Source organism: Homo sapiens, chromosome 19 (assembly GCF_000001405.40).
Source record: "Homo sapiens chromosome 19, GRCh38.p14 Primary Assembly".
Lineage (NCBI taxonomy): Eukaryota > Metazoa > Chordata > Mammalia > Primates > Hominidae > Homo > Homo sapiens.
Window position 1 is genome coordinate 3,593,928 of NC_000019.10, and position 12,956 is coordinate 3,606,883.

Here is a 12,956-nt window from a genome sequence, read left to right on the forward strand (position 1 = left end):
GGCTGGAGTGCAGTGGCATGATCTCGGCTCACTGCAACCTCTGCCTCCTGGGTTCAACCAATTCTCCTGCCTCAGCCTTCTGAGTAGCTGGCATTACAGGCGCCCGCCACCATGCCTGGCTAATTTTTTGTTTGTTTGTTTGTTTGTTTGTTTGTTTTTTGAGACAGAGTTTTGCTCTTGTTGCCCAGGCTGGAGTGCAATGACGTGATCTCGGCTCACTGCAACCTCCACCTCCCGGGTTCAAGCTATTCTCTTGCTTCAGCCTCCCGCGTAGCTGGGATTACAGACATGCGCCACCACGCCCGGCTAATTTTTTTGTGTATTTTTAGTAGAGACGGGGTTTCTCCATGTTGGTCAGGCTGGTCTCTAACTCCCGACCTCAGGTGATCTGCCCGTCTCGACCTCCCAAAGTGCTGAGACTACAGGCGTGAGCCACCGCGCCCTGCAATTTTTGTATTTTTAGTAGAGACAGGGGTTCACCATGTTGGCCAGGCTGGTCTCGAACTTCTGGCCTCAAGTGACCCTCCCGCTTCGGCCTCCCAAAATGCTGGGATTACAGGCATGAACAATCGCGCCCGGCCCATTTATATCTACTTTTAATGACACACAGATTCAAAGGTGGTTTGATTGCAGGTTCCAGGGCTAACCTGTAGCCCTCCCATTACAGGCTGCTGGAAGAATTCTAGGTGGTACCACCCATCAAGTGATTAGGAAACACTCAAGAAACAAGGTGGGGGAGGAACCGAATCCTCTATGTCCCTCCCCATCCTTCCCAGCCCTGCCCTCGTCTGCTCCGGGTGAGGCCCAATGCACAAACTCCAGAGATTGAAAACTTCTGGACCCAAAGGAAAATAAAACCAAAGGCAGAGATATATTTTGGCAAGAAAAGGGGGTGCCCCCGTTCACATTCAATCCTTTCTGGACAGAGCCTTCCCTGTTGGAGGTTCAAAAGGAAGCAACTGTACCCCAGCAAGTAGGTCAAATTCAGGGTCAAAGAGCATGCAAGGCCGGGCGCAGTGGCTTACGCCTGTAATCCCAGCTGCTCGGGAGGCTGAGGCACGAGAATCGCTTGAACCCGGGAGGCGGAGGTTGCAGTGAGCCGAGATCGTGCCACTGTACTCCAGGCTGGGCCACAGAGTGAGACTCCGTCTAAAAAAAAAAAAAAAAATGGCCAGGTGTGGTGGTTCATGCCTGTGATCCCAGCACTTTGGGAGGCTGAGGCTGGTGAATCACCTGAGGTCAGGAGTTCAAGACCAGCCTGGCCAACACGGTGAAACCCCGTCTCTACTAAAAATACAAAAATTAGCCGGGCGTGGTGGCGCGCGCCTATAGTCCCAGCTACTCAGGAGGCTGAGGCAGGAGAATCGCTTGAACCCGGGAGGTGGAGGTTGCAGTGAGCTGAGATTGCGCCACTGCACTCCAGCCTGGGGGACAGAGCAAGACTCCGTCTAAAAAAAAAAATAGCAATGCAAGACCCTCTTCCAATGTCTGCATGCCCTTCCTGGGGTTGGGAGGGACGCAGAGAAGGGGTGGGAGCTCTGGATGGGAAAAAGGGGCCGAGGAAGGGAGAGTGCTTGGTAAAAGGATCAGGGAGGAGTTGGGGGTCCCCGGGTTGGATTGGGGTCAACCCAAAACCCTGCTGCTGATGCCCACTGTCCATCCAGCACCCCCAGCCCCTGAATCCTCAGAACAGGCAGATGGGCTGTCCGAGGGGCCAAGGGCTCCGCGGAAAGGCGCGGGAGGGGCGCTCTGTCCACTTCCTACTGCAGCCCGGAGCGCTGCGTGAGCTGGGGCTGGAGGGACAGCGACCTGGGCCGGGTGCTGAGGCGAGGCTGGAGACGCCGGAGCACGGCGCGGCGGAACAGGATATACACCCAGGGGTCCAGGATCTGGTTCCAGGTGGCCACGCGCAAGTAGATGAGCAGCTCCTTCTCCGTGGTGCGGGACAGCTGCCCGGCGGGGCTCATGGCAGGCGGGTTTCGCAGCACTGTCTGGGCGATGAAGACCTGCAAAGGGGAGAGCTGTCAGCCTGGGCCCCCGCCTCCAGCCCCGCCCGCCCCGGTCCCTGCCCGGGGTCCCTTGAGATCCAGGGTCCACTCCGTTTTTTAATTTTATTTTTGAGACAGGGTCTCACTCTGTCGTCCAGGCTGGAGTGCAGTGGTGCGATCTCAGCTCATTGCAACCTCTGCCTCCCGGGTTCAAGCAATTCTCCTCCCTCAGCCTTCCAAGTAGCTGGGATTACAGGTGGCTGCCACCACACCTGGCTAATTTTTGTATTTTTCGTAGAGATGGGGGTTTCACCATGTTGGCCAGGCTGGTCTCGAACTCCTGACCTCAGGTGATCCACCAGCCTCAGCCTCCCAGAGTGCTGGAATTACAGGAGTGAGCCACTGCGCCCGGCCAGTGTCCACTCTGTTACTGCATTGCTGGGTGACCTCAGGAGAGTTGACTAACCGCTCTGAGCTCCTTTTGATGGGTTCATAAATTAGCGCACTCTTAGCCAGGCAGTGGCTCACGCCTGTGATCTCAGCACTTTGGGAGGTAAATAGGAGAGAATCACTTGAGCCCAGGAGTTCAAGACCAGCCTGGGGAACATAGTGAGACCTCATGTCTACAAAAAGTTAAAATAAATAGAAAAGTTACCCAGGCATGGTTGCACTCCAGCCTGGGTGACAGAGCAAGATCCTGTCTCAAAATAAATAAATAAATACCTTTTTTTTTTTTTTGAGACGGAGTCTCCGCCTCCTGGGTTTACGCCATTCTCCTGCCTCAGCCTCCCGAGTAGCTGGGACTACAGGCGCCCACCACCACATCCGGCTAATTTTTTGTATTTTTAGTAGAGACAGGGTTTCACTGTGTCAGCCAGGATGGTCTCGATCTCCTGACCTTGTGATCTGCCCTCCTCGGCCTCCCAAAGTGCTGGGATTACAGGTGTGAGCCACCACACCTGGCCATAAATAAAATATTTAAATAATAAAAATTATATTTATCTATAGGTCAGGATTGATGGGAAATTTTTTTTTTTTTTTGAGACGGAGTTTCACTCTTGTTGCCCAGGCTGGAGTGAAATGGCAGGTTCTCGGCTTACCACAACCTCCGCCTCCTGGGTTCAAGCGATTCTCCTGCCTCAGCCTCCCGAGTAGCTGGGATTACAGGCATGCACCACCACATCTGGCTGATTTTTTTGTATTTTTAGTAGAGACGGGGTTTCTCCATGTTGGTCAGGCTAGCCTTGAACTCCCGACCTGAGGTGATCCACCCGCCTTAGCTTCCCAAAGTGCTGGGATTACAGGCATGAGCCACCGCGCCTGGCAGGAAATTTTTAAACTATATTTAAAAATATTTAAAATAAGAATGTTATCTACAAATTAGTATATAATATATAATAATCAATTATATGATAATTATTCATAATTATAATGTGGCCTATAATTGATATATATCATATATCATACAATTATATTATAATTAAATGTTACATTATATTAAAATACTTTGTTTGAGATCAGCCTGACCAACATGGTCAAACACCATCTCTACTAAAACATACAAAATTAGCCGGGTGTGGTGGTGCACACCTGTAGTCCCAGCTACTCCGGAGGCTGAAGTGGGAGGATCCCTTGAACCCAGGAGGCAGAGGTTGCAGTGAGCTAAAATTGTGCCACTGCACTCCAGCCTGGGTGACACATCGAAACTCCATCTTAAAATAAAATAAAATAATTTGGCCGGGTGCGGTGGCTCACACCTATACTCCCAGCACTTTGGGAGGCTGAAGCGGGCAGATCACGAGGTCAGGAGATTGAGACCATCCTGGCTAACACGATGAAACCCCGTCTCTACTAAAAATACAAAAAAAATTAGCCGGGCATGGTGGCGGGCGCCTGTAATCCCAGCTACTCGGGAGGCTGAGGCAGGTGAATCGCTTGAACCTGGGAGGCGGAGCTTGCAGTGAGCTGAGATCGCACCACTGCACTCCAGCCCGGGCAACAGTGCGAGACTCCATCTCTAAATAAATTAAATCAATCAATCAATCAAATCATTTCCTGAGCAGTAGGTCCTGTAGGCTGAATGAAGCAGCAACAGCAGCTGAGGAACTCCCAGGGCGCACCCTCATAGGCTCACAGTCCAGTCGGGAGACGGAAACTGGGTCCGGGGAGTTACAGCATGGGGTGGGCAAAGCTGTGAGGAGGAAGCAATGTCAGAGCCCAGAAGAGGTGCCTGACCTGGCCTAGGGAAGTCACTGAAGGGCAAATGGGAGTGGGCAAGGTGCGTCTGCAGGAAGTGCCTGTGAGAACTTTCTTCTGAGGGCAACAGGGAGCCATGGGAGGGTTTAGAGCAAGGGTTGACCCATGGGCCAAATCTGGCCTGCCACTTGCTTTGGGTTTTTTTTCTTTTCTTTTCTTTCTTTCTTTCTTTTCTTTTCTTTTTTTTTTTTTTTTTTGAGACAGAGTCTTGCTCTGTCACCCAGGCTGGAGTGCAGTGGCACAATCTTGGCTCACTGCAACCTCCACCTCCTGGGCTCAAGCAATTCTCATGCCTCAGCCTCCTGAGTAGCTGGGACTACAGGAGTGTGCCATCATGGTTAGTTAATTTTTTTTAGTTTTAGTAGAGATGGGGTTTCAACATGTAGGCCAGGCTGGTCTTGAACTCCTGACCTCAGGTGATCCGCCTGTCTCGGCCTCTCAAAGCGCTGGGATTACAGACATGAGCCACCGTGGCTGGCCTGTTTTTGTTTGTTTGTTTGTTTTTGTTTTTGTTTGAGGCGGAGTCTCGCTCTGTCACCCAGGCTGGAGTGCAGTGACGTGATCTCGGCTCACTGCAACTTCCGCCTCCTGGGTTCAAGCGATTCTCTTGCCTCAGCCTCCCAAGTAGCTGGGACTACAGGCGTGCGCCACCACGCCCGGCTAATTTTTTGTATTTTTAGTAGAGACGGGGTTTCACCATGTTGGCCAGCATGGTCTCCATCTCTTGACCTCATGATCTGCCCGCCTCTGCCTCACAAAGTGCTGGGATTTCAGGCATGAGCCACTACGCCCGGCCTGTTTTGTTTTTTACTAAGAATTTCTTTCCATGTTTAAATGGTTAGAGGAAAACAAAATAGAGGCAAAAATTGAGTGACATAAAAATGACATGAAATTCAAATTTCATCATCTATCCATCAGTAGTTTTATTGGCCACAGCCACGCCTACTCATTTATGTGTTTTCTACGGCTGCTTTCTATTTTTTTTCTTTTTTTTTAATTTGGAGGCAGGGTCTCACTCTGTCACCTAGGCTGGAGTGCAGTGGTGCAATCATAGCTCACTGCAGCCTCAACCTCCCAGGCTCCAGCAATCCTCCTGCCTTGACCTCTCAAAGTGCTGGGATTGCAGGCACATGCCACCATGTCTGGCTAATTTTTTTATTTTTTATTTTTTTTTTTGAGACGGAGTCTCGCTCTGTCGCCCAGGCTGGAGTGCAGTGGCGCAATCTCTGCTCACTGCAAGCTCCGCCTCCTGGGTTCATGCCATTCTCCTGCCTCAGCCTCCAGAGTAGCTGGGACTACAGGTGCCTGCCACCACGCCTGGCTAATTTTTTTGCATTTTTAGTAGAGACAGTGTTTCACCGTGTTGGCCAGAATGGTCTCGATCTCCTGACCTCATGATCCGCCCGCCTCGGCCTCCCAAAGTGCTGGGATTACAGGCGTGAGCCACCACGCCTGGCCTTAATTTTTGTATTTTTAGTAGAGACAGGGTTTCACCATGTTGGCCAGGCTGGTCTCGGACTCCTGGCCTCAAGCGATCCTCCCGCCTCAGCCTCCCAGAGTTCTGGGATTACCGGCGTGAGCCACCGCGCCCGGTCCCACCATCAGGATCTAAATCCACCCTGGGTGACCAGAGGTCCAGTCAGGAGGGTAGCAGGACCCCGCAGAGCCCCTACTCACCAGAAGGGGCAGCCAACACACGCTGGCCACCACCATGATCCCCAGGAGCTGAGCCATCATCTCCACCTCGGAGTCCCGGGGACGCTGCTGGGCCGCCTCCTGCCCGTGGTAGACGTGGCACAGGGTGGCCACGCTGACCGTGTTCAGCAGGAAGGACAGCCCGACCGAGAGGCCGCCCAGCATGGAGAAGAGCAGCCCGAAGGCCACGTCCCCGGACTCGGCGCCCAGCGTCAGGAAGCACCAGGACCCCGGGTATTGCACGGTGTAGCGACCCACGCCCAGCAGGGGCAGCAGGCCCAGCGCCAGCGCGGCCGCCCACACCAGCCCCACGGTGGCCCAGGCGCGGCGCTGCGAGGCGACCGCCGGGCGCGAGAAGGGCCGGGTGATACCCAGGTAGCGCTCTGAGGCCATGGCGGCCCCCAGCAGCAGCGGGGACAGGCCGAAGAAGATCATGACGACGCCCATGAAGCGACAGAGACGGCAGCCAGGGTCCACGGCGTGCCACTCGAAGAGCGCGGCGTGCTGGGACACCACGATGGTACCGGTCACCAGCAGCCCCAGGAAGTCGGTGAGGACGAGGCCGCAGAGGAAGGTGAGGAAGGAGGAGCGCGTGTGCGAACCCCCCTGCCGCGCGCCCGCCAGCACGCTCAGGGCCAGCAGGTTGGAGGCCAGGCCCACCACGCAGAAGGAGGCGGCGAACCAGGGCGAGGCGATCAGCCGTCTCTCCTCCAGGGTAATGTTTGTGGGCCGGAAACAGGGCCCCAGGGAACTGCCGTTGGGCCACATGGCTCCGGAGCCCTGAGGGATCAGTCACCACCCCATCAGGCCGATGCTGCAGACAGGGCAGGCTGGCACTGGTTCAGGCACACCTGGGAGGCGAGAGAAGATTTGCTTGTGATTAATTCTGCATTTCAGTGTAAGTAGCTCTGGTGAACTCCTACACAACCTTCAATGCCCCAGCTCAAATATCCTCTCCGGTTTTTTTTTTTTTTTTTTTTGAGACAGAGTCTTGCTCTGTCACCCAGGCTGGAGTGCAGTGATGCAATCAAGGCTCACTGCAGCCTCGACCTTCTGGACCCAAGTGATCCCCCCATCTCAGCCTCCCAAATAGCTGGGACTACAGGCACATACCCTGTAGTAAGTAGTCCTCCCGCCTCGGCCTCCCAAAGTGCTGGGATTACAGGCGTGAGCCACCGTGCCCGGCCTTTTCCTCCATTTTCATGGTGTCGGTTTTATAATAAGAAATAAACCCTGAAATCCAGTTCTATTTTGGGAACAAAAAACACTTCTTCGGAATGGCAGGTTCCCCAGGGATGGTTGGTAGAGAGCAGCAGGCGGGGACCTGTTACTCTGTGTGGGGCTAACGCTCAGCCACAATGCACAACAAAATCGGAGCCAAGCCAGGCGCAGTGGCTCACGCCTCTTATCCCAGCACTTTGGGAGGCCAAAGTGGGCGGATCACTTGAGGTCAGGAGTTCAAGACCATCCTGGCCAACATAGCGAGACCCTATCTCTTAAAATATATATATATCTGGGTGTAGTGGTATGCACCTGTAATCCCTGCTACTTGGGAGGCTGAGGTTGGAGGATTGCTTGAGCCCCAGATGTTGAGGCTGCAGTGAGCTACAATTGTGCCACTGCACTCCGGCCTGGGCAACAGTGAGACCCTGTCTCAAAAAAAAAAAAACCAACCAACCAACAAACAAAAACGCTAAAAACCCCAAAAAACAAAAAAATGGGGCCAGGTGTGATGAGTGAAGTAAAAATAAAATGAGATGGTTCAAAAACCAGCTTCTGGCTGGGTGCAGTGGCTAATGCCTGTAATCCCAGCACTTTGGGAGGTTGAGGTGGGTGGATCATCTGAGGTCAGGAGTTCGAAACCAGCCTAGCCAACATGGTGAAACCCCATCTTCACTAAAAATACAAAAAGTAGCCAGGCATGGTGGCGGGCGCCTGTAATCCCAGCTACTCAAGAGACTGAGGCAGAAGAAATGCTTGAACCCGGGAGGCAGAGGTTGCAGTGAGCCGAGATCGCACTACTGCACTCCAGCCTGGACAACAGAGCGAGACTCCATCTCAAGAAAACAAAACGGCCAGGTGCGGTGGCTCACGCCTGTAATCCCAGCACTTTGGGAGGCCGAGGCGGGCGGATCACGAGGTCAGGAGATCGAGACCATCCTGGCTAACACAGTGAAACCCTGTCTCTACTAAAAATACAAAAAATTAGCCGGGCGTGGTGGCGGGAGCCTGTAGTCCCAGCTACTCGGGAGGCTGAGGCAGGAGAATAGCGTGAACCTGGGAGGAGGAGCTTGCAGTGAGCTGAGATCGTGCCACTGCACTGCAGCCTGGGTGACAGAGCGAGACTCCGTCTAAAAAACAAAACAAAACAAAACCAGCTCCCCATACCCCATGGGTCATGTCAAAGTCCAGAGGGTTGTGGCTGGTTGTAAAGTCACCCAGGAGGCTAGGATGGAACCCGGGTCTCCTGCCTCTTGCCCTGACACACCCCCAAGTCACCTGGAGGGACTGGGTGGGCAAAGGTGGGCGAATGGGACTGTGTGCGAGATGGAGGTGCCAGGCAGTTAAGGCTCAAAAGGTCCTATTACGGTCAGGCGTGGTGGCTCACGCCTGTAATCCCAGCACTTTGGGAAGCCAAGGAGGGCGGATCACCTGAAGTCAGGAGTTTGAGACCAGCCGGACCAACATGGTGAAACCGCATCTCAACTAATAAAAATACAAAAATTAGCCGGGTGTGGTGGTGCATACCTGTAATCCCAGCTACTCGGGAGGCTGAGGCAGGAGAATCGCTTGAACCCGACAGGGGAAGTGATGTTTGTGGGCCGGAAACAGGGCCCCAGAGCCAAGATCGTGCCACTGAACCAACCTGAGCAACAAGAGCAAAACTCCGTCTCAAAAAAAAAAAAAAAAGAAAAAGAAAAGAAAAGAGGGAGGCCCAGGTGGGCGGATCACGAGGTCAGGAGATCGAGACCATCCTGGCTAACACGGTGAAACCCCGTCTCTACTAAAAATACAAAAAATTAGCCAGGCGTGGTGGCGGGCGCCCGTAGTCCCAGCTACTTGGGAGGCTGAGGCAGGAGAATGGTGTGAACCCGGGAGGTGGAGCTTGCAGTGAGCTGAGATCGCGCCACTGCCCTCCAGCCTGGGCGACAGAGCGAGACTCCATCTCAAAAAAAAAAAAAAAGTCGGGGTTGCTGATGACGGGAGTGAAGGGATCCACGCGCAGCACTCAGCACAGCACAGCGGGCACTCAATGCATGCTGGCCCTGAGGCAGGGCCTGGGCTGTGGGGTCGCAGCAGCTAACGCATTCCAGGGCGGTCAAATGGGTGACTGTGGCCCTCACTCCCCATCTCACTTGTGACGCTTTGGCCTGGCTTCTGGCCTTGGCTACGCTGTATCCAGCCTCATAAATTATCCAGCTCCTGACAGCGGCACTGAACTCCCTTCCTGGGAAGACAGCTAAGGCCACTGCCACCGTGGTGGGAGGCAGGGCTTCCAGAGGAGAAACTGAGGCCTGGAGAGCAGATGCGGTGGGGGGTTCCTCGCGGCCTCTGGCGATCGTTGCCCTCCACTCCGGGCTGCTTTGGCGCCTGGGGTTTGGATTCCTGCACTGGGATTTCCCCTGGGACAAGGCGTTCCTCCCTCGAGAGCTGGTATGTGCTGTTTCTGGACATTCCTTGGGACTCGGCTGTCCCTGCGGCCACTGACCCGACCTCTGCCTGGAGCAACTTCCAGTCCCTCCTGGGTCTCAGGGTCTCCTCGACCACACTCCACTCCACTCACCGGGGGTCACACACCCGGAACTCCCTCACACCTCCGGTGGCTGGGAGCAAATGCATGGCCCAGAGCCCTTGGCCCAGGGGAGCCTGGAAACTGGCACTGAGTCCTTCTGGCCACAGCTGGCTGTTTCCAATCCCCCCACCTCCACTCCCCACCCTGGCTTCAGGCGATGGCAGCCATCTCAAGTTCTCCAGGCAAGGATGCCAATGGGGGGACCGGGCAGGGCCTCCCTTCCCTCCTGCATTGGCCAGGAGGGGTAGCAGGGGCCCCCACGCGGTGGGGCAGTAGAGCAGCACTGCGGCTCTTGGGAAAATTACTGTCCCTCCCTGTGTCTGGGGAGAGGTGTGGACCCAAGATCGCTTTTCGATGTTGAATAACTCCAGAATTTTGCAGTCTGAGAGCAGACGTTTGCCCTCAGCGGGTTCAGGGTTGTGGAATTCTAACACGCTTCCAGTCCTGGGACGCAGAAGGCCTCACAATTCTAGAATCCCAAGAGGCTGAGGTCCTGCAACTCCCAAGAGGCTGAGGTCCTGCAACTTTGATGGGAATCTGCCTGGGTCCCGGGTTCCAGAAATCTCTGTCTTAATTCCTGGCTTCTTTCTGGAAGGCGGACAGTGAGTTCTCCCTCATCCGATGCCACCCCTGACAGGGTATCCGGCTTGCAGGTCGTGTGACTCGGAGGGCTCTGTCCGGCGCTGTTTCCAGAGGCCCGGGCGCTGGGCTGGGCGTGGGCACCAGGCCTGGCTGCCCCAAGCCTGGTTGCCAGTGGAATGTGATCCTTGGTTCCCAAACAGCAGGCCTCTCCTCCGCCCCATGTTCCATCCTCGTGCCCCCTCCCCCACTCCCTGGAGCACGTCACCTCATCATCCATCCATTTCTCAACAAGTCCCCTCTCCTCAGCACCCCACCCTGCCCGCCCCGCCTGCCTGTCACGGCCTGAGCCCACCCCACCTCCCCCAGACAGGCTTGGAGGCTCTAGTCCCTGATCTGCCGTGGCCAGGCTGGGGCTCCACCTTGCCGAGCCTCAGTTTCCCCGCTCTGTGCAATGGGGGTGAGCTTCTGATCTCCATGCCTGCGGGTGCTAAGCTCAGGCCTCCCTGGCTCTCACCTCTGCAGGGCTCCTGGCTGTACTCACAGCTCAACTCCCTACAAGGTGCCCGGGCAGCCAGCAGGGAGCCCTGAGGCTCCGTGTCACCCCTGTCGGCCTTGGACCTTGGACCCACAGGGCCCTTTTGGGACTGAAACTTCAGGGACCGGCCAGACCCTCCCATGCCTGCTGTAGATCTGAACGCTCATGGGCGTGGACCCCCACATGGTAGCGGAGGCAGACACACTCCACACCCTGATGGGCCCACCTCCCCTCATCGCAAAGCTCCATTTCCGAGAACATTTCCTGTTTGTGACACCAACAGGGTCCCCAGCCCACACAGTGCAGGGCGGGGACTCCCCCAGCCAGCCAGACTCCGGCCAGCCTTGTTGGGGCCCTAAGTCACATGGCCCCCTGTGAGCCTCGCTTTCCCCATCTCTCTAGTGGGGGCTCCCCAGGGAGCATGTACGGAGCTCCGTCACACAGGGGCCAGCAGGGACCAGGGGGCGGGACCCGGGAGGTGCAGCTGGTGGTTAATGGTGGACCACAAGTTACAGTGATTCCACCAACATGCACCTCAGGCCACCACCGTGTGTGCACACTCGAGACACACAGACACAGCCAGACACACACAGGCAGAAACACAGCAGACACACAGGCAGAAATGTGACAGACAGAAACACAGCAGGCAGACGCACAGACGTGCACAGACACACACACAGAAACATGGCAGACACACAGACACACACACAGATAGAAACATGACAGACACACAGGCAGAAATGTGACAGAAACACAGCAGACAGATGCACAGACATGCACAGACACACATACAGAAACATGGCAGATACACAGACACACACAGATAGACACACACAGAAACACCACAGACACACCCAGACAGAAACATGACAGACACACAGGCAGAAATGTGACAGACAGAAACACAGTAGACAGACGCACAGGCATGCACAGACACACATACAGAAACATGGCAAATACATAGACACATACAGATAGACACACACAGATGGAAACATGACAGACACAGACACACACAAGCAGAAACACAACAGACACACAGACACACGCAGATAGACACACACAAGCAGAAACACAACAGACACACAGCCACACACAGACACATACAGGCAGAAACACGACAGACATAGACACACACAGATACACACATAGGCACACAGGCAGAAATGTGACAGACACAGACAGAAAAACACAGACACACAGGCAGAAACACAACAGGTACATAGATACAGACAGACACAGAAAGACACACAGAAGAACACACAGTATTTAACAGTCACAGACTCTCGGCAGAAACAAACACACGGTCACACACACAAAACCACCACACACGCACAGACACAGACACACAACCAGGGCCATGCATGGTTCACTCCCAGAGACAAGATCACACACACAGCCGCACAACCACACTCGATCCCTGCCACACCCAGGGCCTGGGCCCCCTCCCCGGCTGCAGCCCCCTGAGTCTGGGACCCCCATTCACAGCCATGTGGCCCCACAGAGACCAGAGAGCCCCCCGGACAGAATCAGCCTGGGCCGCACCCAGACCCAGCCGCCTGGGCGCCCAGGGCAGGCCTCAGGGCACCATGCCACCCGCCGGGCCACACAGGGGACACCTGGCACCTGGCCGCTGTCACCGCGGGCTTTGCGACACACCCACAGCAGGGCAGGGCCAGCGCCGGATGCGCCCAGCAGCCCGGGCTCACACCAGAGCAGTGCATCCCGCCCTAAGCCAGCGGGGCGACCTCACCTTCAGAGACCTCATCTGCGGGGCTCCCACCTGGCTGGATCCCGCGCCCGGGGGTCCGGGCGCCGTCTGGAGCTGAGCAGGCAGATGTGCGGGCGCCGAGGGTGGGGCGAGGGCTGGGGGCGGGCAGAGGGAGGGGAAGGACGGGCTCGAGCGGGACCTCCCAGGGAAACTGAGTCAGTCTGGCTGTGACCAGGGGCGGGCCCAGCAGAGGACCCACACAGATGGAGGGCGTGGCGGCACAGGACGCCCTGGGGTCGCGGCCTGGAGGGGTCCGCGGGGGCTAAGCCGAGCTGGGACGGGTGGGGGCCGCTGGCAGCCCGCGGCTCGCTCTCTCCGTCCAGTCTCTGTCTCCCG

The 12,956-nt window shown here is 55.7% G+C and overlaps 1 protein-coding gene across 3 annotated transcripts, besides 3 other annotated features; it reads right to left on the minus strand.

Moving 5' to 3' along the window:
* On the minus strand, window positions 580-12,948 carry TBXA2R (thromboxane A2 receptor). 3 transcript variants are annotated; one of them, NM_201636.3, is made up of 4 exons: window positions 12,603-12,948; window positions 5,922-6,790; window positions 1,810-2,006; window positions 580-1,149 (listed from the first exon to the last, which is right to left on the minus strand). In NM_201636.3, the coding sequence occupies exons 2-4, from the start codon at window positions 6,705-6,707 to the stop codon at window positions 909-911; spliced, it is 1,224 nt and encodes a 407-aa protein (NP_963998.2). In that variant the 5' UTR covers window positions 6,708-6,790; window positions 12,603-12,948; the 3' UTR covers window positions 580-908. The 3 variants fall into 3 exon arrangements, with proteins under 3 accessions (NP_963998.2, XP_011526516.1, NP_001051.1); XM_011528214.3 differs by adding an exon at window positions 8,688-8,805 and having other exon boundaries at window positions 580-2,006; NM_001060.6 differs by having other exon boundaries at window positions 580-2,006.
* Window positions 10,766-10,815: an enhancer, noted in NCBI's record as "active region_13740". NCBI's record gives its function as "activates an Ori minimal core promoter by ATAC-STARR-seq in GM12878 lymphoblastoid cells {active_cell/tissue: GM12878}" and the evidence as "EXISTENCE:reporter gene assay evidence [ECO:0000049][PMID:35858748]".
* Window positions 11,925-12,499: an enhancer, noted in NCBI's record as "H3K27ac-H3K4me1 hESC enhancer chr19:3605850-3606424 (GRCh37/hg19 assembly coordinates)". NCBI's record gives its function as "activates a minimal SCP1, AML or CMV promoter by ChIP-STARR-seq in primed H9 embryonic stem cells {active_cell/tissue: H9 hESC(primed)}" and the evidence as "EXISTENCE:reporter gene assay evidence [ECO:0000049][PMID:30033119]".
* Window positions 12,847-12,896: a silencer, noted in NCBI's record as "silent region_9854". NCBI's record gives its function as "represses an Ori minimal core promoter by ATAC-STARR-seq in GM12878 lymphoblastoid cells {active_cell/tissue: GM12878}" and the evidence as "EXISTENCE:reporter gene assay evidence [ECO:0000049][PMID:35858748]".